The 26,656-nt window shown below is 37.8% G+C and overlaps 1 protein-coding gene across 16 annotated transcripts in view; it reads right to left on the bottom strand.

Annotated features, from left to right (window-relative positions):
* The window catches only part of COL6A6 (collagen type VI alpha 6 chain), a 160,323-nt gene that overhangs the window by 62,258 nt on the left and 71,409 nt on the right, over nucleotides 1-26,656 (bottom strand). For 15 of the 16 annotated variants that reach the window (XR_924103.3, XM_017005713.3, XM_017005711.3 and 12 more), the window contains 12 exons: nucleotides 25,603-25,695; nucleotides 23,691-23,744; nucleotides 22,173-22,244; nucleotides 22,063-22,089; nucleotides 21,680-21,724; nucleotides 21,533-21,586; nucleotides 20,442-20,504; nucleotides 16,355-16,420; nucleotides 14,975-15,028; nucleotides 7,819-7,854; nucleotides 5,821-5,883; nucleotides 4,074-4,136 (listed from right to left, as the gene is read on the bottom strand). Coding sequence is in view for 15 of the 16 variants with exons in the window: in XM_017005713.3 (XP_016861202.1) it covers nucleotides 4,074-4,136; nucleotides 5,821-5,883; nucleotides 7,819-7,854; nucleotides 14,975-15,028; nucleotides 16,355-16,420; nucleotides 20,442-20,504; nucleotides 21,533-21,586; nucleotides 21,680-21,724; nucleotides 22,063-22,089; nucleotides 22,173-22,244; nucleotides 23,691-23,744; nucleotides 25,603-25,695 (690 nt within the window). In the remaining variant the exon portion in view is untranslated. Of the gene's footprint in view, nucleotides 1-4,073; nucleotides 4,137-5,820; nucleotides 5,890-7,818; nucleotides 7,855-14,974; nucleotides 15,029-16,354; nucleotides 16,421-20,441; nucleotides 20,505-21,532; nucleotides 21,587-21,679; nucleotides 21,725-22,062; nucleotides 22,090-22,172; nucleotides 22,245-23,690; nucleotides 23,745-25,602; nucleotides 25,696-26,656 lie in introns of all 16 variants that reach the window. The other variant, XM_011512424.3, reaches the window with a different exon arrangement.

Below are 26,656 nucleotides of genomic sequence, written 5' to 3'. Positions count from 1 at the left end.
TAGAAGATCCAGAAGTAATAGATAAATTCCTGGACACAAACAACCTCCCAAGAATGAACCACAAAGAAATTGAATCCCTGAACAGACCAATAACAAGCTCCAACGTTGACTCAATAATAAAAAGCCTACCAACCAAAAAACAGCCAGGACCAGAAAGATTCAAAGCCAAATTCTATCAGATGTATAAAGAAGAGCTGATATCATTCCTACTGAAACTATTCCTAAAAGGTGAGGTAGAGGGACTTCTCCCTAACTCATTCTACGAGGCCAGCATCATCCTGATACCAAAACCTGGCAGAGACACAACGAAAAAAGAAAACTTCAGGCTGATATTCTTGTTGAACATAAATGTAAAAATCATCAACAAAATACTAGCAAAGCGAATCCAGTAGCACATCAAAAAGCTAATTCACCACAATCAAGTAGGCCTTATCTCTGGGATGCAAGGTTGGTTCAACATATACAAATCAATAAATGTGATTCGTCATGTAAATAGAACTAAAAACAAAAACTACATGATTATCTCAATAAATGGAGAAAAGGCTTTTGATACAATTCAATATACCTTCATGTTAAAAACCCTCAACAAACCAGGGATTGAGGGAATGTACATCAAAATAATAACAGCTATCTATGACTCACAGCTAATATCATACTGAATAGGCAAAAGCTGGAAGCCTTCCCCTTGAAAACCAGAATACAGGGATGCCCTCTATCACCAATCCCATTCAACATAGTACTGGAAGTCCTGGCTAGAGCAACCAGGCAAGAGAAGGAAATATAAGGCATCCAAATATGAAGAAAGGAAGTCAAACTATCCCTGTTTGCAAATGACAAGATTTTATATCTAAAAAACCCAGTAGTCTCTGCCCAAAAGCTCCTTGATCTGATAAACAACTTTAGCAAAGTTCTAGGATACAAAATTGAAATACAAAAATCAGTAGCATTCCTATACACCAACAACATACAAGCCGAGAGCCAAATCAGGAATGCAATCCCATTCACAATTGCCACAAAAATGTAAAAATAAAAATATCTAGGAATACAGCTAACCAGGAAGGTGAACAATCTCTAAAATGAGAATTACAAAACACTGCTCAAAGAAAGCAGAGATGACACAAATAGGAAAACATTCCATGCTCATGGACAGGAAGAATCAATGTTGTTAAAATGGCCATGCTGCCCAAAGCAGTTTACAGATTGAATGCTATTTCCATCAAACTACCAATGACATTCTTCACAGAAATAGAAAAAAACTATTTTAAAATTATACAGAACCAAAGAAGAATATGAATAGCTAAGACAATCCTAAGCAAAAAGAACAAAGCTGAAGGCATCACCTTATGTGACTTCAAACTATATTACAAGGCCATAGTAACCAAAACAGCATGGTACTGGCATAAAAACAGACTCTAGACCAATGGAACAGAATAGAGAGCCCAGAAATAGAGCCACACACCTACAACTATCTGATCTTTGACAAAGCCAACAAAAACAAGCAATGAGGAAAAGACTCCCTATTCAATAAATGGTACTGGGAGAACTGGCTAGCCATATGCAGAAGATTGAAACTGGGCCCCTTCCTTATACCATATACAAAAATCAACTCAAGATGGATTAAAGACTTAAATGTAAAATCTAGAAGCATAAAAACCCTGGAGGATAACCTAGGAAACACCATTCTGGACATAGGACTTGGCAAGGATTTCATGAGAAAGATGACAAAGGCGATTGCAACACAAACATTGACAGACCCAATTAAGCTAAAGAGCTTCTGCACAGCAAAAGAAATTATCAACAGAGTAAACAGACAACATACAGAATGGGAGAAAATATTTGCAAACTATATATCCAACAAATGTCTGATATCTAGAATCTTAAGGAACTTAAGCAAACTTACAAGCCAAAAACAACCACATTAAAATGTGTGCAAAGGATATGAACAATTTTCAAAAGAAGATATATACATGGCCAGCAGGCATAAGAAAATATGCTCAATCCCACTCCATACAACCCTCCCCTTTCTGATGCCCCCATGCTTGTAACCCACCTCTCACCCTCATGTACATAGACCTCACCAGAGGGGCCTCATTCTCATTTTTTAATCCAGCGGCATCCCCTACGCCCAGGCTGTCAACCCTGTGTTGCGCTACAGGTCAGAGGAGCCCTGCAGTCCTCCCATGAAACCCAGGGAGAGAAGCACAACAAACACTTATATTTTTTGTAGTGTTAAACGCAGTTTTGTATTATTTAAAACTGCTCAAAATCACTGATTAGAGAAATTAAAATCAAAACCACAGTGAGATACAGTCAGAATGGCTATTATTAAAAGTCAAAAAATAACAGATGCTAGTGAGGTTGTAGAGAAAAGAGAACATTTGCACACTCCTGGTGGGACTGTACATTAGTTCAGCCATTGTGGAAAGCAGTGTGGTGATACCTCAAAGAACTGGAAACAGAATCACCATTCAACCCAGCAATCCCATTATTATTTACCCAAAAGAATATAAATCATCCTACCATAAAGACACATGCATGTGTACATTCATTGCAGCACTACTCACAATAGCAAAGACATGGAATCAACCTAAATGCCCAACAACATTAGAATGGACAAAGAAAATGTAGTAAATATATACCATGGAATACTATACAGCCATAAAAAAGAACAAGATCATGTCCTTTGCAGCAACATAGATGAAGCTGGAGGCCTTTATCCTAAGCAAACTACCACAGGAACAGAAAAACAAATACCACATGTTCTCACTTATAAGTGGGAGCCAAACAACAAGAACACATGGACACAAAGAGGGGAACAACAGGCACTGAGGCCTACTTGAAAGTAAAGGATGGGAAAGGATCGGAAAAAAATACTTATTTAGTACTATGCTTATTATCTGGGTGGCAAAATAATATGTATGCCAAACCCCCATGACATGCAGTTTGCCTGCATAACCAACCTGCACGTGTACACCTAGACCTAAAATACAAATTATAATTAAAAAATAGTGTCATGAGATACAAGTTTATGCAAATAGCCTCTTAAATTTTCTTAAACTTTCTGGTGATAAACACAACCACTTACATATTGGACTGCCTGGTTCAACTAACGTACACACGTAATGGAATCCTTTTACCCTAGTGTTAGTGGAGAACACAATTTCCAACTGTGTCTCATTCACTCATTTACTGTTTGATTCATTATTCAAATATGTGTTGAGCTCTACTATGTGCCAGGTACTGATATTCTGGACTCTAGGGATAGAGTGTAATAAGACAAAGTCCTATCTTTTATGGAGCTTGCAATCTAGGAGGAGAGACAGGCAAACAGCTAAACAAATAATACGTACTATGATAGCAGGTAGGTGAGGGCCAGATCATGTAGGGCCGTTCTATTAAAAATGTGGTCTGGATCAGCAGCATCAGCATCATCTGGGAATGCCCTAGAAGTGCAGAATCTCAGGCCTTGCCCTTGACCTGCTGACTCAGAATCCGCACTTTAACAAGTTCTCTAGTTAACAATCCCCTCTAGGGGATTCTTCTGCACTGTGAATCTGGAGGAGTGCTAATGCAGAGCAGTCATTCCCAACCCTAGGTCTATATTAAGATCTCCTAGGGAGAAGTTAAATTACTGCTACCCTGGCCTCATTGCCAGAGATTCTGATTTAAGTGTCCTGGGGAAGGTTCTAGGTGGTGGAATGTTTTAGAATTCCCCCAGGAGATTATCATATTTAGCCAGTTTGAGGACTACTAAAGTAGGCTGTATTCTGGGGGTGGGATGGGGATGGGAAACCCCAAGAGAATTGAGATCAGGGGAGTGATGCGACCTGATTTACATAGCTGAGCAGCTGAGGCAAAGAGGGCTAGATTTTCTACCTCTGTGTCTGATAGTGATAGCCTGCTCTGCAAGATGGGGACCATGATGTGATGTGGCCACCACATTGAGCTGAAGTGAAACCTAATACACGTTCCTGGTTCACAAGCAGTAAATAACTCCACCTGTATGGAAGAAACCACAAAGACATATCAAGCCAAGATCAAAGTCAGATGCAATCATTTTTCTCATTACATACCTGGGGACCTTTACTTCCCACACCTCCTTTTTCTCCTTTCACACCAGCCTCTCCTCTTGGGCCCTAAGTACATAGAATTAAAGCATTATTTTTTGCCTAAAAGAGAACATTGAATATTAAATTGAATATTACAAGTAGAAATACTAAGTCAGTAACATGGACAGAAATGGGAAAGAGAGCTCCAATCATGCCTTTCCTTCCATCCTGGCCTGTGGAGCTCATTCTCATTTGTGCAGGAATATGAATGTCCAATCTGAAATTTAGGCAGTTGAGGATCTGCAGTCAAACTGACTGGGGCTTGGAAAAAAATACTGAATGGTTGAGCTTTTCCATATTGCTTTCTACATTTCCCTACATTTCTCTTGTTAGAAAGAAAAATATTCCTTACAAATATACATCTGAAACCAGAACATTTAAATAAGTTTTCTATTCAATAACCACACTGAAGACTGGTCATAAACAAGATATGGTATGTGGTAAGATGAAATCTGACTATTTCTACTTTTGGAATATTATACTGCCTATTAGCTGTGGCTTTCATATGTTATGCAGAGAAACTTTCATGCTGTGTTTGGTTTTTGCCTCTGCTTTTAAATTACACCATTAAAAAAAGTAAGTTTCTATAAAATGGAAGAAGGGATGCCATAGTATTACTTGCTTAGCATGAAATAAAGCAGTCAATCTATTGAAATGCTTCCCCACAACCCCAGTGGCAACTATTTCTCGCTTGAAGGTTAAAAAAAAAAAAAAAAAAAAAAAGTGAGCTTTCCTCAGCTGGAAAGCAACAACAAAGAAAAGTAATCAAGCTAGGAAGAGATAAAGGTCCAAGGGGAAGACTGTGCACTGCTCTGAATCTTGGCAAAATGTGGACAAACTTTCCCTTCTGATGTTTAAGGATATGTTGCCCAACTTCCAGGCAAAAAGCTGCCAACATATAATAGTTACTTTTTTTAACTATGTGGATTAAAAGTTTGAAAAATAGCAGAGCCGTTGATTGTCCTGCCTATGCCAAATAGAACACTTATTCCTCAAGCTTTCAAAACTAACTTTGGAGAGGAAAAAAAAAAGTTCTAACTTTTTTGTGGTCTGACCTTTCTTTCAACTCAGTATTTGCTAGGATTTCCTTTCCTTTATCATAATATGTTAGCTAAATTTTGCCCTCTCTGGCCCCTCATGTGACCCCTCATGCAACCCCTCATGTGATCAGTGTAAACAGCCAAGTATGGCTTGTTCCTTGCAAAGGAAAAAGTGCCGGAGGTAGCTCCCTGGAGAAGTCAGCTGGCAAGGGCAGGCTGAGTGCTGCACTGCAGATAACCCCACTGATGTCTCCAGCTGTCTTTCGAGCAATTCTTTCCTAAGAGTAAAGCCAATTTTTCTACATCATGAGCACCAAGATATGTAACACTGAACTATTACTGTGCTAAATTGACCACAATTCCCAGATCTGAGGTTCAACATTTTCCTTGGCTCAAGCTCTCCCTGGAATATCTTACTTACCCTGAACCCAGTACACAAGGACCACTGCCTAGTTTGCTCATTCACTTTTCACTTCTTGACTGGGACAAAACTTAAAGCAGACCAAGTGCTGCATGAGTCCAAACTGTGTTGCTTCCTTACTTTATTACCATGAGAACTTTAAACATGGAATTCTGCAAGGGAGATTTGAAGGTTTCTATCAGGTCCTCAGATTTTTCCATTCCCAGATTCTTCTTTATGTTCTCACACCCTGATTGGTCTTGATATGTACCTGAGGGCCCTTAAGTCCCAGGGAGCCTTCAAGTCCATCTGGTCCTGGGATGCCTGCTGTTCCCTGTGGCGAGAAAGAATCAATCTGTTAACACTGTTTCCTGAACATTTTGTCTCCTTTACCTGCAAGCTTACAAATATTTTTTCAGTCACAATGTCAATGCAGGATCTTTGCAAAAAAAAAAAAAAAAAAAAAAAAAAAGGTGAAAAATAAATGCAAATACAAAGAAAATAAAAATCTATAATCTCATCAGAGATAACCATAGCTAGTATGCTGGTGTATTTCCTTTCCATCTTTATATATATGCATGCATGCACACATGCAGCCCCCACCCCTTTCTTATAAAATTTGTATTATATCTAACTTAGCTATGTGGCCTTAAAAACACTCAAAATTTAGTTCACATTTTCTTCAAACATCTTCAAGCATCTTACACGATTATATTAATATTTATATTCAAATCAATTAAATATCTAGGGAACAAAAGTTGAGCATTCTCTTCATATTGTTCTTGAATTCTGTCACAGACAAGAATTATAAAAAGCATAACGAATTCAAGAAGTTTATAATTTAGGCAACTATTAGGAGAGCCTAAGTTTATATTTCAGTTGTTATATAGTTGGATGTGATTAAATGTCACTTACAGATACCTTTTCCTAGAAATCAGAAAAAAATTTTTTAACATCTTCTCTCTCCAATTTCATTTCATTTATATCATGCCATTTTACTAGGTAGGTTCTCCTTTTTGCTGAAGTCTAAACTTGAAATGTGCTGTAGTCTGAATGCATGCATTTCTTCAAAACACGTATGTTGAAACTTAATCCTCCATGCAATAGTATTAACAGGTGGGGCCTTTAGGAGGTGATTAGGTCATGAGGACTCCATCCTCTTGAATGAGATTAGTGCCTTTATAAAGAGGTTCAAGGTAGCTGTCAGCCCCTTCTGCCATGTGTGGATGCAGCAAGAAGGCACCATTTCTAGAGTGAACAGCAAGCCCTCACTAGACACTGAATCTGCTCATGTCTTGATCTTGGACTTCCCAGCCTCTAGAACTATAAGAAATAAAATTCTGTTGTTTATAAATTACCAGTTTAAGGTATTTTGTTACAGAAGCAGAAACAGATAAATAAAAAGTATGTGGGAGGGAGGGATAATGTCTGGATGGTAAGGTCTCTTTGTCTACAAGTGTCTATTTTACATTACACATAGTTTAGCTAGGTATAAAATTCTAAGTTAACGATTATTTTTCCACTGTACCTTCAGGTTATTACTCTGTTATTTTCTGGCATGTATTACTGCTGAACAGAAGTTGCTGCAATCTAATTTTTCATTCTTTTCATGAGTAAAGCTATCTTTTCTCTGTGGTAATTTTTAAGATGCTTTTTATCTTTAACATTCTGGAGTCTCACCATGTTGCCATTGAGAGTGGATTATTTATCCTCATTGTATTTTTAATCTGAGGATGTGTGTTTTATAAAATTATAAGTCACAACCACTCTTTCATAAATATTATAGGTTCATGAAACACATATAATGTATCACCAACATACACAATGAGAATGGGATATGGTTTTTGATTTAACCAACTTTTTGAACAAAATACTCAGAATATCCAATTTGTACAAGAGTTTTATTGTATTCTTTTGGCTTATATGGGGTTTTTTATAATTGTAAGATTCCAAAGTTAAATGAAAATGTAAAAGAAGGGTCATCTACTAAGTTATTCAAGTTTGTACTTAAAATCCAAGCAAAGTTAAATTTAACAATAATTGTGCTAAGTACATCTCTGGCCATTATTTTTTATGGTTTTTGACCAAAGTTCCCACATCATTTTAAAATATGAACTCTTAAAATCTTAACCTAAAATTTTTTCAGCTTTCTATTCCATAACCAATATCATCAAAAAGGGAAGTTTAGAGACTTTACAGAGACTTTATTCCAGCTCCCTGATTGGATGCAGTATTTGTTATTTGGAGTTAAGGGGAAAAATCATTGTACCTGTGGGCCTGTATGTCCCCTTCTGCCATGAGCTGCCTAAAATAGAAGAAAAGGTGGATATCATTAATTCAGAAAAAATGCTTTTTATATATGATTTAAATTCATAATGGACACTTTAAGGCACCAACATACATAACAATTCCCACATAGTGCTTACAACATTCAATTTTCCACTGTACCATGAAAGCAAAATACTGCTAAATCTAAATTTCTATCCTAGGGCAATTGAATATTTGTCTCCTTGAAATAACTGACAATAGAAATAATAGACAATTGAAATCTACAGATACTTATGAGAACAGACTGTGGTCAATAATTTGTTCTCTGTTAAACTTTTACTAGAGCTGTTCACAAGCTGCAAATTGACTTATTTGAATTTTATTTCTTTTATTTTTCCTTAAGCACTACCAAGGAATCCAGGAATCAGGGGTAAACTAGCCAAAAGGCAGGAGGCCAGAGGAAAAACTGGGAAAACTGACTCCATGTACTTTATAATAGATTAAGTTCAGACATAAAGATGGCCAAACTAATTTTATTTTTAAAAAGCCAAATAATATGCTTACCTGAGAAAAATGAAAGAATTATCTCAAACATTCAAAAGCTACTCAATCCAGTATATTAATATTCAATCAAAATGATACTACATAATCGAGTTTTCCTGCCACTGTCATATGTAAGTGTAGGGTCTAGATATATTCTAGATCAATATTTCATACACCTGGAAATCAAGAGACCATGACATTTTGTTGTCTAACCTAGGATCATTCAGTAATGTTATAGTAAAAGTAAAACCCAGCATTTGCAAAATTCAATAAAATCGGAATTGTCTTGATTGAAATTTGAGATGTTCTCTGAGAGGCCAGTATTTCAAACTTTAAATTCTGCTAATCATATTTCAGTCAAAATCTATTTGATATAGTTTGGCTGTGTCCCCACCCAAATCTCATCTTGAATTGTAGCTCCCATAATTCCCACATGTTGTGGGAGGGACCCAGTGGGAGATAAGTGAATCATGGGGGTGGTTTCCCTCATACTGTTCTCATGGAAGTGAATAAGTCTCATGAGATCTGATAATTTTATAAGGGGTTTCCCCTTTCACTTGGCTCTCATTCTGTCTTGCCTGCCACCATGTAAGACATGCCTTTCACCTTTTACCATGATTGTGGGGCCTCCCCAGCCACATGGAACTGTGAGTCCATTAAACCTCTTTTTCTTTATAAATTACCCAGTCTCAGGTATTGTCTTTCTCAGAAGCGTGAAAATGGACCAATACACTATTGTTATAAAAGAAACAGACTGTATTTCGGGGAAATGATTAGAAGTCTTTATTTTATTTTTACAAAACTGATGAATCATCATGAGATGAAACCCTAAATCTTCTATCAGAGGGAGGAAAATAAGCTGTTTCCATTCCTTCAGCACATGGGTTTGTCTGTTCTGATTCAATTCACTTCTCTTTTATTCAGAAAAATATCAGTAGATATTTCCATTTGACAAATAGCAATAGATATTTTCATTTGAAAAATATACTACCCACGAAACACACTAGATGGGAAACATGGCAGCATAAAGATCTCACACACACACACACACAGTCCTGACCTCAGGGGACCCTCATTCTTTGGGTTTGGGAGGAGGAGATAAATATTACAAATATTTACAAGGCAAAGTATTGCAAATGCCATAAAAAAGGGGAAAGATAGAAATACAAGTTTTAAAGAAAGCAATCATATCCAGTTGGTCAAATCAGGAAAATCTTCCTGGAAGAAGAGATTTTTGAGATGGGTGTTTCAGAGGATGGGTAGCAGTCCTACAGGCAGAGGATGTATCAAGTCTTTCCAGCAGAGGTACAGCCTAAGCTATGAAGTAGAAACAGAAAAACAGGAAGCATATTTGGTAGCAGCAGTAAGGCCATCTGTGTCAAAAGTGTGAGAAGAAAGGGAAGTAGCAGGGTTACTAGGCTGAAAGGTCCCCACAACATTTAGCAGAAGCCACTAGGGTTTTTGGAGCTGGAAAAGTACATGGTCAGACCCCAGCTTTAGGTGGATACATCTGGTTGTGGTAACAGGAACTGAATGGAACTTTATATTCAAGCAAAATAAAGAGCTTCCAGTATGTTTAACGGAAGTGGAACAGACCTCCATTTTCAAAAATCTACCTCTGGCTTGCTGTCGCAATGTTTCAAACATCATCAACAAACATTTTTTCCCCTTTTGTCTTTAAGGTTTGATTTTGAAAGGGCTTGCTGAAAATAAATTATTGTAACACATATTTATTGAGTTCCTGTTCCCTTCCAGGAACTGGGCTGGGTGGTGGTGAACAAAATCTGACTCCTGACCCTAGTTAGTTTATAAGCCTAATGGATGAGAAAGACTTTAATCCACCATTCACACAAATAATGAAAATATCTCTAGAAACGATCGCATAGCACCTTTGTTAATGGTTACATGGAATTTTTTTTTTTTTTTTTTTGAGACGGAGTCTCGCTCTGTCGCCCAGACTGGAGTGCAGTGGCGCGATTTCGGCTCACTGCAAGCTCCGCTTCCCGGGTTCACGCCATTCTCCTGCCTCAGCCTCCCGAGTAGCTGGGACTACAGGCGCCCGCCACCACGCCCGGCTAATTTTTTTTGTATTTTTAGTAGAGACGGGGTTTCACTGTGTTAGCCAGGATGGTCTCGATCTCCTGACCTCATGATCCGCCCGCCTGAGCCTCCCAAAGTGCTGGGATTACAGGCGTGAGCCACCACGCCCGGCCCAGTTACTTGGGATTTAAGCTCCAAATGAAAGTCATGGGAGAGATATATTGGGTTGCTGTGAGAGACAGAAAACAAGGAAATATGGAAGATGATTTTGCAATTTTGCCTAAAATTTTCAAGTGTTTTATATGAGAAAGATGAAATTCCAAAATATCTTAATGGTTTACCCAACGACTTGCAAATGTCTGATAACACATCTAGATAACCTGACTTATCTTTAAACAGACTGTGAATGGGCACGTCAGGAAAGAAAATCTCCCCAAAGCGACCTGAGAAGAAGATGGCCAAGAACAGGGTACTCAGTCCTTCATTCCCCCAAAGCCTGGCTTTCTGGTTGTTTACAGGGCCCAATTTCCTAGATATAGAACCATCAGGATGGAGAATTATCAAGAAAAAAGCAGGACATTCTGAATGGTAAAACATCACATTAATACTAAGTCTTAATGGCAAGCATTTACAATGATGAACAATTGTCCGACACCACTTCAGAATGCCTGTAAATGAGTGCCAAGAGGGATGAAAAGGGCAAGTCATAACTAACAGCCCTCTAGACTAACTAGGAATGAAGGATATGCATTAATTTGAGGCTACAGTTGCTTCTCATTATCCTTGGCACAAGAATCTGTTCTAATTCTCAGGTTTGGCTCAGAGACGCTCCCCCTTTCTTCCTCATCTCCCCCACAGAACTACCACATTCTAACCCAGATTCTTCCTTCTTGTCCATCCTTCCTGCCTTTTCCCCCAATTCATTATAGTCTGCTAGCATAGCACTGGTAACAGCTTATTAGCTCTACAGGTCCATCCCCTCTACAAAGTGATTCTCAGCAGGAAAGGGGGGATTTAGTACCCTCCCTTTCCCCAGAAAACACTTAGCAATATCTGGAGACATTTTTCATTGTTACAGGTCAGGGGTGTTACTGGCAGCTAATGGGCGGAGGCCTAGCCCCCCACAGCAAAGAATTGTTTAACCCAAATGCCAATAATGCTGAGGCTGAGAAACCACACTCTACAACATGATTCTAAGTTCCTTGACAGGAAAGATGGTCTTAGTTAAGCTTGTAGTTGAGTTTATTTCTAGTATTTAGTAGTGTTGCTGGTGGACTGTAGGTGTTCAAATGAGTAAAGGTCAGATTTGCTGTTTATTTCCCCGCATGCCACTCCTACCACTGGCCATCCTCCAATCACTTACCCGCTTAGTGGAACCTAAGTGCACTGACAAGTCCTCCATGCTCATTGTAACATTCATTTTAGAGTTCTGCAGTGAACACTAGATTTTTCTACTTTCTCAAAGAATGACTTTACTGTTATGAGAATGATGCATGCTGATTTAAAAAATATTTGAATACAGAGAATACAGAAAAAAATTTTTAAATCACCCAACTCCTCCATCTAGAAATATTATGTTAATCATGATTCCTGACATCTTCTATACTCATTCTTACAGATAAAATTCTAAATAGTGTTTTATTAAAAAGCAACCATATTAAACTTTTTTAAAATTAAAATATTACATCTAATTTTACTTGAAGAAAAAACAAAGAATAGAAATGTCAGGTGTTAACATGTCTTACATCTCTACTGTTTTCCCTTCCATTTCTCCTCAAGCCCTGCCAACTTGCTTTCTTCACTTTCTATTGTCTGTGTTTCAAACTTTAAGAGCAATAATGTTATCTTCACTTCTTTGAGACCCTGGAGAACTATTTGCCAGAATTCATATTTTTCCTTGAATAATTCCTCTTCTAATGAGGCTTTATCTGCCCTTTGCCCATGGTTTTCTTTCTCTTGCAGCTTTACGTCCTGATTAATCATCTAATTAATAAAGATTATTAATGTTCCTGACCATTCACCATCTTTGAATAGGACCACTTGTTTATTGAAGAAATTATGGGGATGTGTGCCTGGAACAGGGCTGGTGGCTTTGACACAGATATGTTGCCTCAAACACTTTCTCATCAAACGAATGATTTCTTTTTCCTTAGAGCTACATCTTCCTTCTACTACTGATGTTTAGAGATTCATGGCACTCATATGAAGCCCCTTAAGTCATAGTTTCCCTGTGTTGTGATAGACACTGTTACTTCTCTCCTCATTGTTTGCAGCCTCCATGGCCTTGGTTGCTAGTTGTACATAATAAAAGTGGAATATTTTCCAGTTTCTCATTTTGCCTCCTCTGTTGAACTATGGCCCTATGTGTATATTCCCTGCTCCACTCAAAATCTACCATGTCCCTGGATTTTGCTCACCAGTTTTTTCAGGACTATGGCAGTTAGTTTTGAAGAAATCTGATCCCTGCATGAGGTCACACTTGATGTATCAGCTTTCTAAATCCTTACTCATTAGGGTTGAGATTTAAAAACAGTTGGCCGGCATTTGTCATTACTTGCAGCTTGAAGCTGTGGTTATTCTCTGTTTCGCCATTTTTAATTTCTTTTGTTGCTTTTGGTGAGATGCACGTAAGAGGAATAGTGTGAAAACAGCTTTACTCTGCCATTTCAACTGAAGTCCCACTTTTACTCCTGAATGACATGGCTGAAGCTATAACCCAAGATGGGGGTCATATTTCATGGGAGTGGTGTGGTTTAAATAATGCATAGCAATATTGCATTAGCCCCTGGAGGCTATAAAACAGTGAAAGTACATCCTTACATGCCAGGATTTCCTGGATGATATTCTTTAAGTTGAAAATATTTTCCAGGGGTATATAAGCTGACTACACCCTTTTAGAAAGTGAAATGAATAGCAAATGCATTTCTTTATAAGCGTTGAAACTGCATTAGTAAAGCACTTTTCCAGCAATCAAATTCTGCATATTTTAAACGATCTCTTTTCATTTTCTCTGCCTTGCAAAGAACACGGGTATGCTCCAAGATAAAAAAAATATTTTTCGATGGAGTGTAATAGCTGGCTCTATAAACTTCTGCTCAGAAAAGACAATGTGTAATAAATGCAATATACTAAAGTAGTTTCTACTTGTGCTTAATTTTAAAACATTTTTCTATTTGGGAGGGGGTGGGGGAAATTGAAGGCTGGATAACTACATAAAGAATGGAAAGAAAACCTAGCAAAATGAAACGAGACAGCCTAATTTAGACACTGATGTAGGCATCTAAGTATATTTTATTAAAGTTATCTCTTCTTATTGAATATTTTATCATCTCTGTGCTTTTCTGCACACAAATTTTTTAAAGTACTTAATGAAAAAATAACAAATAAAATAAAAAACAAACCAAAACTGCACCCCCAACAAGCAAGTGATCCAATTTCACTCTCAGATATGCCTATACCAGGACTGACTTCTTTTCTTTCCCCCTTTTTTTTTCCTGTTTTAAATTTTTATTTTTATTTTAAGTTCCAGGATACAAGTGCAGAACATGTAGGTTTGTTACATAAGTGTATGTGTGCCATGTTTGCTGCACCTATCAACTGTTCATCTAGGTTTTATGCCCCACATGCATTAGCTATTTGTCCTAATGTTCTCCCTCCCCTTGCCCCACCAACCCCCGACTGGCCCTGGTGTGTGTTGTTCCCCTGTGTCCATGTGTTCTCAATGTTCAACTCCCACTTGTGAGTGAAAACATGCGGTGTTTGGTTTTCCATTCCTGTGTTAGTTTCCTGAGGATGATGGCTCCAGCTTCATCCATATCCCTGCAAAGGACATGATCTCATGCCTTTTTATGGCTGCATAGTATTCCATGGTGTATATGTACAACATTTTCTTTATTCAGTCTATCATTGATGCGCATTTGGGTTGGTGCCATGTCTTTGCTATTGTAAATAGTGCTGCAATAAACATACGTGTACATGTGTTTTTCTAGTAGAATGATTTATATTCCTTTTGGTATATGCCCAGTAATGGGATTGCTGGGTCAAATGGTATTTCTGGTTCTAGATCCTTGAGGAATTGTCATACTGTCTTCCACAATGGTTGAACTAATTTACATTCCCACCAACAGTGTAAAAGTATTCCTATTTCTCCACATCCTCACAAGCATCTATTGTTTCTTGACTTTAATAATCACCATTCTTACTTTTCTTAATAGTCATACAATTTGGCAAAGAAAGAATAGAATTTGGATTTAAAACGCTATCACAGGTGATCTCAACCTAGCTAGTAGGCCACACTTTGACCACTTTTCCCCTAGTTGGAGGTTTTTTTGGTTTTCTTTGCCCAGCTCTCTCTCCTGACTGGCGATCTGCTCTGCAGTCAGCACTTTCCTACCTCAGCTTCCAGGGCTTTCCCAAGTCCTTTGCCAGCCCTGGTCTGCGAGATGTCATAAGTTAGTTTCCTCAAGGTAGTGAGCTCCAGCAGAACCATCCCACCCACTCCCCCAAAGTCAGCCATTTTCACCACAACATGAGCCACCAAAACAGTGGGTCTCCTTGTCTAGAAGGGCTCTTACTGTCTTTCTTCTGGAGCCTGGTGTCCCGGGGGGGCCTGGCCAGCCTCTTCTGCCCTGTCAAAGGAACAGACAGATGTGTGACGGTAATTATGCAGCATTGACAGAGTTTCTCTTTAACATCAACTTTTACTCCAGGGAGGATAGATAGGTTCACACACCAATGAGAGAGTTACCTTTCCTTTGGAAAATGGCATGAACTCTACTGATCATAAGTCACATTTCTATATAAGTCATGAGGAATTGCAGGAAAAAATGCTAATGACATGGCTTCATCTGTTCATCATTCATCACTACTGTCTAAGTTGTATTTGGGGTACATGTCTCAGATAATTCAAACTATCCCTACTACGTTGCCACAGTGTGGATAACTAAAGCATACTATGTGTCAGGTATGGCTACTACTGGTTTGGATTTCTACTTTTGAATTGCTTGATCCTTTTGGCTAATCAAACAGATTATTACCTTACTGTAAATAAAGTCTCATAATAAAAAGACTTGTATGATCACTAGATGATCACTTGAGATGATCATTAGATACAAAAGTATGCAATAATTTATGAGTCTTCTATGGGACTTACATTTACCACTTACTAATAATGGCAGATAATATTTACTGAAGGTTATAATGTCATTAAATTAAATATCATTAATTCCCATCATGACCTTCTAAAATAGGCTATTCACCCTATTTTACAGATAAGAAAATTGGGGTTTACAGAAAGTATCCCAGGATCCAGAGCTGGTAAGCAACGGAGCATGAGATAGGACCCAGTGCTGTCTCCAAAGCACAGTTCTTTCCACTTTATCGTACTTCTTTCCTAGGTACAGTCATCAAGGGAACATTATCCAAGAAAATCCAGTAACGCATTTTTTAGACAACTATTTTTAAATACTGAAAACAGGTTTTGATGACCACATTGTGACTTATGAGATTAAGCCCAAGAACTTTTCTTGATTGTGTGGACCACGTCTATCTACCAGATCTTGTTCTTTTTATAATGTACTACTAATATGTCTTTTTAGGGTATGTTACCTCCAGATACTGGAAAGGCCAACAGCTCTTTTGCTAGCACAGTTCTTTCTATCAGCTAGCCCTATATTTTAAGTTAGAGTTCCAATGTTTATATTCATGAAGACCTCGAGGATGTGTCTTGGTGAATCAAGTCACCCCAAATTTAGAGGAGGAAGGCAAGAATGTTTCTCAAATCCCAGAGTAGTACATAGGCAGGAGAAAAGATCATTTTGCTCCTAATAATGGTTTTTCTGTACCAAGTATATCCACTTTGATTCCAGTTTTTTTGTTAAGCATTTCACATTCTACCAACAAGAACTTAAGCCCCACAGTTGTTGCATCACGATTTTACAAGCCCACGTAATTACTTGTCTTCCACGTTCTCCTTTCAAGCCTGTGGGTCCTTCTATGCTACTGTCAACTCCAGGAGCTCCCTAAAAATAGAAAATAAAGAGAAAAATTAATATATTTGGACATTTCTCCTTAAACATATAACTTATGTATAACACTTAGCTAACTCTCGAGAAGTTGACAATTCCAACCCATTTGAAAGCAGAAATAGGTTAAAATTACAGATGGCTTACAAGTATTTTCTTTTCCTCCTGTGTTTGACATTATCAGAGAGAGAACGGAGACCTAAGGCATGTGTGTGGGGAGAAAGAGCTCTCCATAGAAGGCACAGCCAAGGCAAGCCAGGGTGATGTGAATTATGTGCATGGCAACTCTTACCCTGGGTCTGGAGGAAATCCCTCTTGTTACTGCCACCCCTTCTCTTAACTTTTCCTCTTTTTTCTTGGAGGCTAGGCAAAGTTACACTTGAGAGTTGGTAGATTTTATTCTACCATACCCTTGGGAAAAGACAAAATTTGTAATGGGTTCCACTCTGATAATGTAATAAGCACACTAAGTGACACTGAAGATTCTACCTGCCACCAGCTCCCTCTTTCTCTTCCTGGACACCTGGGCACTCCCATATGCTACACCCATATGTTCACCCCTACTTTTCCAGTTTCCAAAAAATCCTGAAATTTTGAATTTTCCCCACTATTCATGCAACTATTTCCCGGGAACTCACTGACAACAAGCATACGTTGTGGGATATTCTCTTTAGCAGGCCAAACCAAAGTCTTTCTTGCTTGAGTCGTATGAACCACAAACAGAGCTGTGTCTCCATGATGTTGAGACAATCAGTTGAGCTAGTCAATTCAGTCAATGCTCCAATAAACTGAGAGAGGACAACAATTATCCAGTCCTGCTGAGTGCCAGCTATGGGGCTGCTGGGCTGATAGCAGCTCAGATTTCCTTCATCAATCAATAAGTAATTTGCGGTCACCAGCAGGGACATATCATTGTTCCAGATACTTAGTAAGCTTTTTAAACAAATGGTTTTGTACTTACAGAGCTTATAAGTTAATGGGATGAAAAAGATGGGTTTGGAATTTACTTTATAACACTGATATTACTAAAATGTAGGTGAAAAATTGCTTCTTTCCTCCACCTACCAAAGCCAAATATCATTTTCTGTATCTTCTTTTTCTTCCTTAAGTTTAAATATTTGTCTCTTACGTTCTCCAAGCAGGGTATACCTCAATTACAATATCAGAAAATTGTATTTTGGTGGAAAAAGCAGGGAAGGAAAAGGAAGGTCACGTAAAGTCCAGAATTTTATTTCACTGGACATAAAAGCCCCTTATTGTAGTTCAATTCTAAACTACTTGAAGAGATAACATAAAAAGAATCATATACCAGCACATTTTACAGAACAGAACAACCCAAATTGCATACAGACAGTTGGTCAATGTGAATCTGAACCGATTTAGTCTTTCTATACGTATACAACTGGGTAAAAAAGCATTATCTTCCACAAATTTACAATTAAACATGGGCTTATAATAATATATTGTCAAAATGAACCTTACTATAGCCTCTATAGATCAAATAATTTAACTGTTTTCCCCCAATATTTCTTTTTTTAAAAATTTTATCATTATTATACTTTAAGTTTTAGGGTACATGTGCACAACGTGCAGGTTTGTTACATATGTATACATGTGCCATGTTGGTGTGTTGCACCCATTAAACAAACACTTCCAGTCAGTATGGGAAATTCCAAACAGCTCGTCAAGATGGGAAATTCCAAACAGCCAAATGCACTTCCATGTGATCATAAATCCTATCTGAATAAACTTAGGGTTTCAAAAATTAGCATCATTTACATGCTTTCCTAAGAATAAACTGATCATGTGTGTTCTATTTATTTATCCCCAATTTTTCCTGAAATAGTAATGCACTGAAGCCACATGTAAAAAAACAGAGTTGTTTTACAGTTGGAAGTCATAGAGCATTTCTTTTAAAATAGAAAGCTCTTTACATTATTCAGACTCTTTAAAATATGTTACACAATCACACGATCTTTAGCAGACAATTTAGGAGAAATTCTGATCAAAATCAGTGGAGGTTATATAGCAATGCCCCAAATGAATTTTTGGTCATCATATATGGATAACTGAAACGTCTTTGTATTTGAACTAATATTTCTAAGTTGTGCTTATATGTGGATAGTTCTTTGGTTCTAAATTAGATTCTTTGAAGTTGAAAATTCTCAGGACACCATTATCAGAAGATGTCACTTAGTCAACAATGTTTTCCTCATGCGCAAATTCCTCTGTTTTTAAATACAGTTGCCTAACATTTACATGTTCATATATATTGCATCAAATTCCTTCTCTGATCAACCCATTGTATACAAGAGGTTATATTAAAGAAAACAAAAATCCTCATGAGATTCCCAGGTGTCCCACATCCTTATCAGCACTTGGTATTGCTTTTTATAAATTGTAACCATTCTGATGAGTGTGTAATACCGTTCTCATACATTGCTAGTGGGAGTATAAATAAATACAAACTTTTGAAAACCATTTGACTGTAAAGACAATCTGAGTATGGCCATACACATTATAATCCAGAAATTCTACTCTTAAAATATAGACCCAATATAAATATGTAAAAAAGTGCATCAAAAGACATATATAAGAATATTCATAGCAGCACTACTTATAAAAGCAAAAACTGGGAGCAACCCACCTATCATTAGTATAACAAATAAATCATGGTATATTCACACAATGAAATACTATGCAATGCAGCCACGAAATTGAATGAACTATTGTTATACACAACATTGATTCATCTTACAAGTATAAAGCAAAAGAAGCCAGAAAAAAAGAGCAGACACTTATATGGTTCCATTTATATCAAGTTCTAGAACACATAAAACTAATTAATAGTGACAGGATAGTGATTACCTTGGGGGAAGGTGAGTAGTGGCTGCAGTGGGCATGAGGGGGCTTCTGAGATGCTGGTAATGTTCTATTTCTTTACCTGGTGGTGACTACACAGGTGTATTCACATTCATTAAGCTGTGTATTTATAACTCAGGGACTTTTCTGATGTATGTTACAGTTCAATAAACATTTTAAAACAAAGCTAAATCTTAATTCATTAAGGTTTTGGAGACTTACTTAAGTGTGGGTATGGTGATGAAAATCCTATAGTACTGATGTTCTATCGGACTTGGCATATTCCCTATATATTGGTATCTTTTTTTTTTTCTTTAACATGGGTCCTGCCTACTCAGCTGGGTTGTGCTCCTGCAAGGGCAGTGCCTTTATGTCATAAGTTTTGCCTAATATAATTCTACTTGGCCTGGGTTACAGGAAATGAGACTGATATTCTTGAGAAAAATTCTTGGAGAACTGATAGTGGTTTGGCTGTGTCTCCTCCCATATCTCATCTTGAATTGTAATAATCCCACATATCAACAGTGGGGCCAGGTGGAAATAATTGAATCATGGGGGTGGTTTCCCCCATACTGTTCTTGTGGTAGTGAGTAAGTCTCATGGGATCTGATGGTTTTATAAATGGAAGTTCCCCTGCACAAGCTCTCTTGCCTGCTGCCATATAAGACGTCCTTTTGCTCTTTCTTCATGATTGTGAGGGCACCTCAGCCATGTGGAACTATGAGTCAGTTAAACCTCTTTCCTCTATAAATTACCCAGACTCAGGTATGTCTTTATTAGCAATGTGAGAACAGACTAACACAAGAACAGAAAAAAAAGACATGGCTTTCTTTCTGTCATTGTGTTTGTATTTTGAGGTGCTTGGAAGATAATGAAGTGGACCAGAATTTCTTCATTGTTTTGAAGCACAAAAACAATTCTGAGTATGTATTTACAAAATTGCATTTGCAAAAGACATGTAAGGGCTTTTTACTGCTCATACTCATTCAGTATATGAAGAGGATCTAGCACAGGTACCTGAATTTAAAATGTTACAATCATGCCTGTGGTGTTTTAAACTCAGGGTTACTATTGTAGTACCTTGAAATCGAGACTCCCTATCAGAAGTACGGATGGGAATCAAGCCCTAACTCCAGTTTGCAGCCCGTGCACTTACGGGATCCCCTCGCAGGCCCTTTGCTCCACGGTCACCAGGAGTCCCTCTCTTCCCTGGGCTTCCCTAAAGTTAATACAAATCAGAAGAAAAACAAGACAAGAAGTTTTAATAAAATTAATAAAAACAGAGCTTTTCTTCTCCCTGGTGTGAATAATTAAATATTTTTCTACAAAGGCTATTTTTAAGCTGGAAAGATGAACAACCGAAAAAATTAGTTTCAAGCACCATATAAATAATTTAATAGTGAACTCAATTATTTGCCACAGTGGTGAACTCTGTGTTCCAGACACACTTGTCATCTTGTTTTTTACAAATATTCTATGAACCAGGTATTCCTTATTATCTTTCTTTTATAAGGCAACTGAGATTCAGAAAGAATATGCACTTTGCCCAAGATGGTTGTTTCTGACTCAATTGTTCACACTCTAAAGACAAAGTAGAGGATGAAAATATGGCTGCTGTTGGTATTTATTCTAGGTGGGCATGAGGGACATTCACTCTTCAATGTGCTGCCTGGCACCACTGACCCTTGTCAACACCCCACTTCTATTCTTACTATGGTAGTTGCTTGTCATTGATGGCCCCAGTTCTTCACCTCTCCCTATTCCTGTGTCCTTTGCCATGTAACTCTACAATGACTTCCAACTGTGGTGGGCAAGATTCCCTTCCTCTGAGTTTGGCAATATGCATTGATTTGGCCAACAGAAAGAGATGCAAGTGTTGAGAGAGTTCTGACCCTAGGTCTGAAGAAGACCTGAGAGTTCTAGTATGTTTCCACTTGCTTTCTTGTGCTTCTGCCATGGGCATAAAAAGGTCATGGCTAGCATGGTTAGGCTAGCTCCTGGTCCCAGGAGGGTAAGTGACAGATGGAGTAAAGCCCCCGGCCACCTTACAGACATGAGCCATGTCCAGCCTCAATCGGCTGAACCCCTCAGAAACATAAGAAATAAATGTTCATCGTTGTATGTGATTGAGGTTTTATGACTGTCACAAAACAGTTTTGTAGCAATAGCTGACTGAGTATTCTACTCTGTTAATCACACCCTTAATCCCCAGTACAATTTTTATGTTCTTCCTTTTCAAATCCCTACCTGAGATCCCTCATCTCCCTTTTCTCCTTTTCTTCCAGGAAGACCATTATCACCCTAAAAAACAAGAAGGGAAAGCTATTAATAGAATTCTCGTTTTCATAATGGTAAATAGCTCAGAAGGGTCTCTATGGTACAAGAAGGCTCTACCTGTTCTCCGTTTAATCCGTCAATTCCATTTTCCCCAACTTCTCCCTGAAAAGATAGATATGATTAGAACAGAGTACATCACGTGCATGTGTAAAGAAGTCAGATGCCAAACAAAAACTCTATTTTTGTGTTTCACATACAGCCTCCTTGTGAGGCTGGGCCTGGGTTATTAATATTAAAGGTTACTCAGTAATAGAAACTATCAACAAATAATATGTATTGCCTATAATGAAAGAGAAGAAGAAACAAAATGAAATGGCTGGCAATAAAAAAGGAAAGTCAATGACAACTTTATTTGTATAATTTACTGATAAATAATCTCAAAAATAAAAATATTTCTAGATAACATATGGGTAGGTAAATGGATGTGCCTGGTAACATACCTCCTGTCCATTTAGTCCTCTGTTTCCCTGAAAATAAAAGGACAGTTATAGTTAGTGTAGGAAAATGTAATTAATATTGAGAAAACTCCACACTCTTATGCAATCCTTACCTTAGGACCTTTGGTGCCATAGCATCCCTTAGTACCTTGCTCTCCCACTGGTCCAGGGGCTCCTCTTTCTCCCTGAGAAAGGGCACATATCCAAATGAGCTTTTTCTATTGTAATCTGAGATCTGTCTTGAAAACTTGACAAGTTTTTTGTTACCAAAAAAAGTGTGAATGCTCATGGTTCACAATCCAGAGTTCTTGCTTATAAAAACTAAGAGTAGAAATAAATCAGAGATACCCTGATGATAGACAGCCCTTTGCTTTGGATCCCACTTGCATACTGCCTGTGTGAGACTTCTCTCTCACCAAGTGGTCACCAAGTTACGTCCTTCCAACCTTCTTAACATATCTAGTCATACTGTCCTAAGCACAAATTAGGACCTGTCTTGCATCTATGACTGCAAGACTTACCTATAAACCTTCACCTTATCATCATCTGTAATGTTGCTTGAGCATGCTTTCTAAACACTCCCATAATTTTGACCCCTGTGCTTCCCACCATTCAGTGACTGCCCACCAACTAGAAGACACAATCCAAATCTTCAGCAGGGGATTCAAGACTCCCAATAACCTGAGTCTTACTTGCCACATATATCTTCCTCCTGCAGTGACCTGGGTTCCATCCATGTTAACCATGTGCCATCTTATGAACATGATCTTCTCTGACTCAGATACATGCCCTTGAACATACTTTTCCCCCAAACTTTGCCTGTAGAAATTCCTATTCATCCTTCAAATGTCTGCCCAAGTACTACTCCTTGTTCGCAGCGTTCCCCTCTCAAGCCCCAACTTTAGCTAAGGCTGTTAGGTAACTGAGTTGTTCTGCCACACTCCTTTGCATGTCTCTATACTTCTAGTCTAGCCCTTGTGTAAAACAACCAGAATCACTGTTGTCTCATTTGCATTTCTACTAGTTTGAAAGTTTCCTGGAGGTAGAAACCATATTTTTCCTTTTATTTTTCTTATTGCTGAAGCCTACAAATATTTGTTAAGTATCTGATAATCTGCCAGGCACACATATATGTAACATATATTTGTTGAATGAACCAATGAATGAGTATGTTAAAGTGTGAGGTCTTTGATAAAATAATGTAGGAAATGGTAAGATGTTTATATATAATTGGTAAACAAATGTTTGGATGGATTGATGGGAGGAAGGAAGGATGAATGAATGCAAGAAAGAGTGGGGTCCTTGATACACAATGTGGTGAGTTGGTTTACCTTTACAGAATGCTCCAGAATGGGGGAAACAGCAGTGATTCAACTCCCCTAGTGAAGGAGGTTACTTCCGCATTGAATTCATTGTGCAATGTTGGTGGGTAGTCAAAGAAGAGACAATAGGTCAATAAACCACTAATGACCACCAGAAGCAAAGCACAATGAGGACAAAAGAAGATCTGAGATTCTGTACACGAATCCTTAGAATCTCACCTTTCTTGCTTCCCCCTGAATTGACTCAAGGAAATTCATATTGTAGATGTTTTTAGGGATAAATGGAGGTAAAAAAGAGCCCTGACTTACAGCGATTCCCTCCTCTCCCAGGTAGCCTTCACTGCCTTTAAAACCTGGAGGTCCCTGGAAATAAGAAAAGGAAGAAAACATTTGCATCTATGGACCAAAAATCAGAGGTAACCAAACCAAATTCAGTTTTACAGTTTTACTTCATGTGGAATAGTAAGTGTTTGAAAAAAATGGTCCTTCCTTCCCAATGTAGGTTGCATTTACACACATAAAAAGAAATGGAATTTTGGCCGGGTGTGGTGGCTCATGCCTGTAATTCCAGCACTTTGGGAGGCCCAGGCGGGCGGATCAAGAGGCCAGGAGATCGAGACCATCCTGGCTAACACGGTGAAACCCCGTCTCTACTAAAAATATAAAAAATTAGCCGGGTGTGGTGGCGGGTGCCTGTGGTCCCAGCTACTCAGGAGGCCGAGGCAGGAGACTGGCGTGAACCCGGGAGGCGGAGCTTGCAGTGAGCCGAGATCGCACCACTGCACTCCAGCCTGGGCGGCAGAGCGAGACTCCGTCTCAAAAAAAAGGGACAAAAAAACCAAACACCGCATGTTCTCACTCATAGGTGGGAATTGAACAATGAGAACACTGGGACACAGGAAGGGGAACATCACACACAGGGGCCTGTCGTGGGGTGGGGGGAGGGAGAGGGATAGCATTAGGAGATATACCTAATGTAAATGACGAGTTAATGGGTGCAGCACACCAACATGGCACATGTATACATATGTAAAAGACCTGCACGTTGTGCACAAGTACCCTAGAACTTATAGTAAAAAAAAAAAAAAAAAAAAAAAAAAAAAATATATATATATATATATATATATATATATATATATATATATATATGAAAAAAAAAGAAATGGAATTTCGAGACAAGTGTCCAGTGAACTCAAGGGGGTGTCAATCATAATATTGTAAATCTGGGTTTATATATAGTTCCAGAGCTTCTTTCTAAACATTCAAGTCAACACAGCTATATTTGCCACTGATAAACTAGAATTATTCTCCGTTTATTAAAAAATCTTTTAAGATTTATGCTACACATAGAAAAATAGACCACACACCTTTCTTTCCATTCTTTCTGAGCCTTGTTTTTTAAAAAAATCTACCACTCTCTTTACATGAAGCTGAAACATTCAGGAAATAATTAGTCCAAAAACTTTCAGAGACATATTCAGAGACATAGCCCTGGTGATTTGGGAGTTACAGTGCTATCTATAAATTATTCAAAAATAAAACACATGTAAACAAACTGTATTGAAATCATTATAACATATCCACAGTGTTTATATGTATTTAAACATTTCTTAAAGTTCAAAATAATATTTTCACATAAGGGTACATATACTTTTTCTGGTTAGGAAATATATGAATCAATGTTGTTGGTTTCTGTTTTTAAATAATGAGCCTGTTTTTGTTTATATATCTGTGATAACATTTTGACCTGGCTTAAGATGAATGAGACATCTTAACATCTTTTGCTATAAGAGAGTGATCTGATCTAGCCTGGTTTTCAGCAGAGTACACAAAGTATCTTCGCTTTGATTTTAATAACTCTGCCATCATTAAAAATGAATGCTGAAATGCGTTATTCACATGGAGGAGGCTTTCATTATCCAACATGAGGAATTATAGCTGATTTTTCTGCATCATTGTCATCAGTACTAGAATACTGGATAATCAAGGATCTTGACAGTTGTTTCTCCTGAGTCTTCCACAAAAACTTTTAAAAAAGACTCCAATTTAGAATGCCAAGGAAAATCCATGACTAACTTAACATATAAAAAGAGGAGTATAATAAACTCTTATATAAGAGGCTCTATTTAGAAGTTAAAAATCACCCCTTATTTCTACTTAAACCCATGTCTGAAGGACATACTACAACTCAAAGTAACCCATAAATCTGAGCTAAAATCACCCTTTTCCCTGGTGGTCCAGGATCTCCCATTGTGCCATCTCCTCCAATGCACTTGCAGAACAAACAGCAGCATGTCCTTTCAGCAACATTGACCTTGGGAGAGGGTAAGAAATACATTACATTTGGTGGTATTGCTTCCCAAATCTCATATACAAGTTCAACCATGCGATCCAGACTTCTACCACAGTTTCAGAAGCCTGGTCACCATTCAAATGACTGTGCTTTAGAAAGAATGCATGAAACTTTTTTTTTTTTTTTTTTTTTTGCTTCCATCTTTTCTTCTATCATCTGCACTCTCCACCATTTCAGGTATTCCAAATCAACTCAAAAATGTTTCTGTGTTTTCAAATTGGTATCAGTTTAGCTATGGCAAACTGACTGCATGCCAACTGATGTGGTTGTCTGTCCCTGCCCCATCTCACTCTAGCACTGACTATGATATTGTCGATTTCCCTATATATTTCTGCCCCAAATATTTTGTTCAATAAAATGAATGCATGCTATTTTCCTCATTTTGTGAAATCTTGGTATGCTAGAGAATTTAGACAGTGCCCAATGTAACATGTCTTGGAACTAAGTCCAATGGTTAACTCTTCCAAAGCAATTCTGATAGGATTTCAAAAACACAACTTACACGTGCAATATTTTGGAAGCACTTGCTGTAGGGGATTGGGGCACAGGAGAATATTACTCTTTATACTCTGGTAAAAACATCTATATCATATATTTTAAAACATTAATAAATGTCATCCTGGACTTACCCAGCCATCCCTTGAATAGATGACATATTGCTTTACATTTTTACAATTAACTCACCAGATTTACTTTTAGAAAAATTCTATTTTCAGATAAATGTTATACTTCACTTTAGTGGGGCAGAACCAATCTTTGTATTGTGAAGTTTCCCAATAAATTTCTAGTGCAATGAAAAATGAAAATCTTTTGTTATAGTCATTTAGCAATTTTCTCCCTTTGATTGTTTCCTACTATATAATGTTCCTTTTCTGACATTATGAAATTCTTTTTCCTGACAATTTCAGAAAAAGCAACCAAA

The sequence above is a fragment of the Homo sapiens genome, chromosome 3 (genome assembly GCF_000001405.40).
Source record: "Homo sapiens chromosome 3, GRCh38.p14 Primary Assembly".
Lineage (NCBI taxonomy): Eukaryota > Metazoa > Chordata > Mammalia > Primates > Hominidae > Homo > Homo sapiens.
Note: the sequence above shows the minus strand (reverse complement) of the source record. Positions and strands in the feature narration are given on the sequence as shown.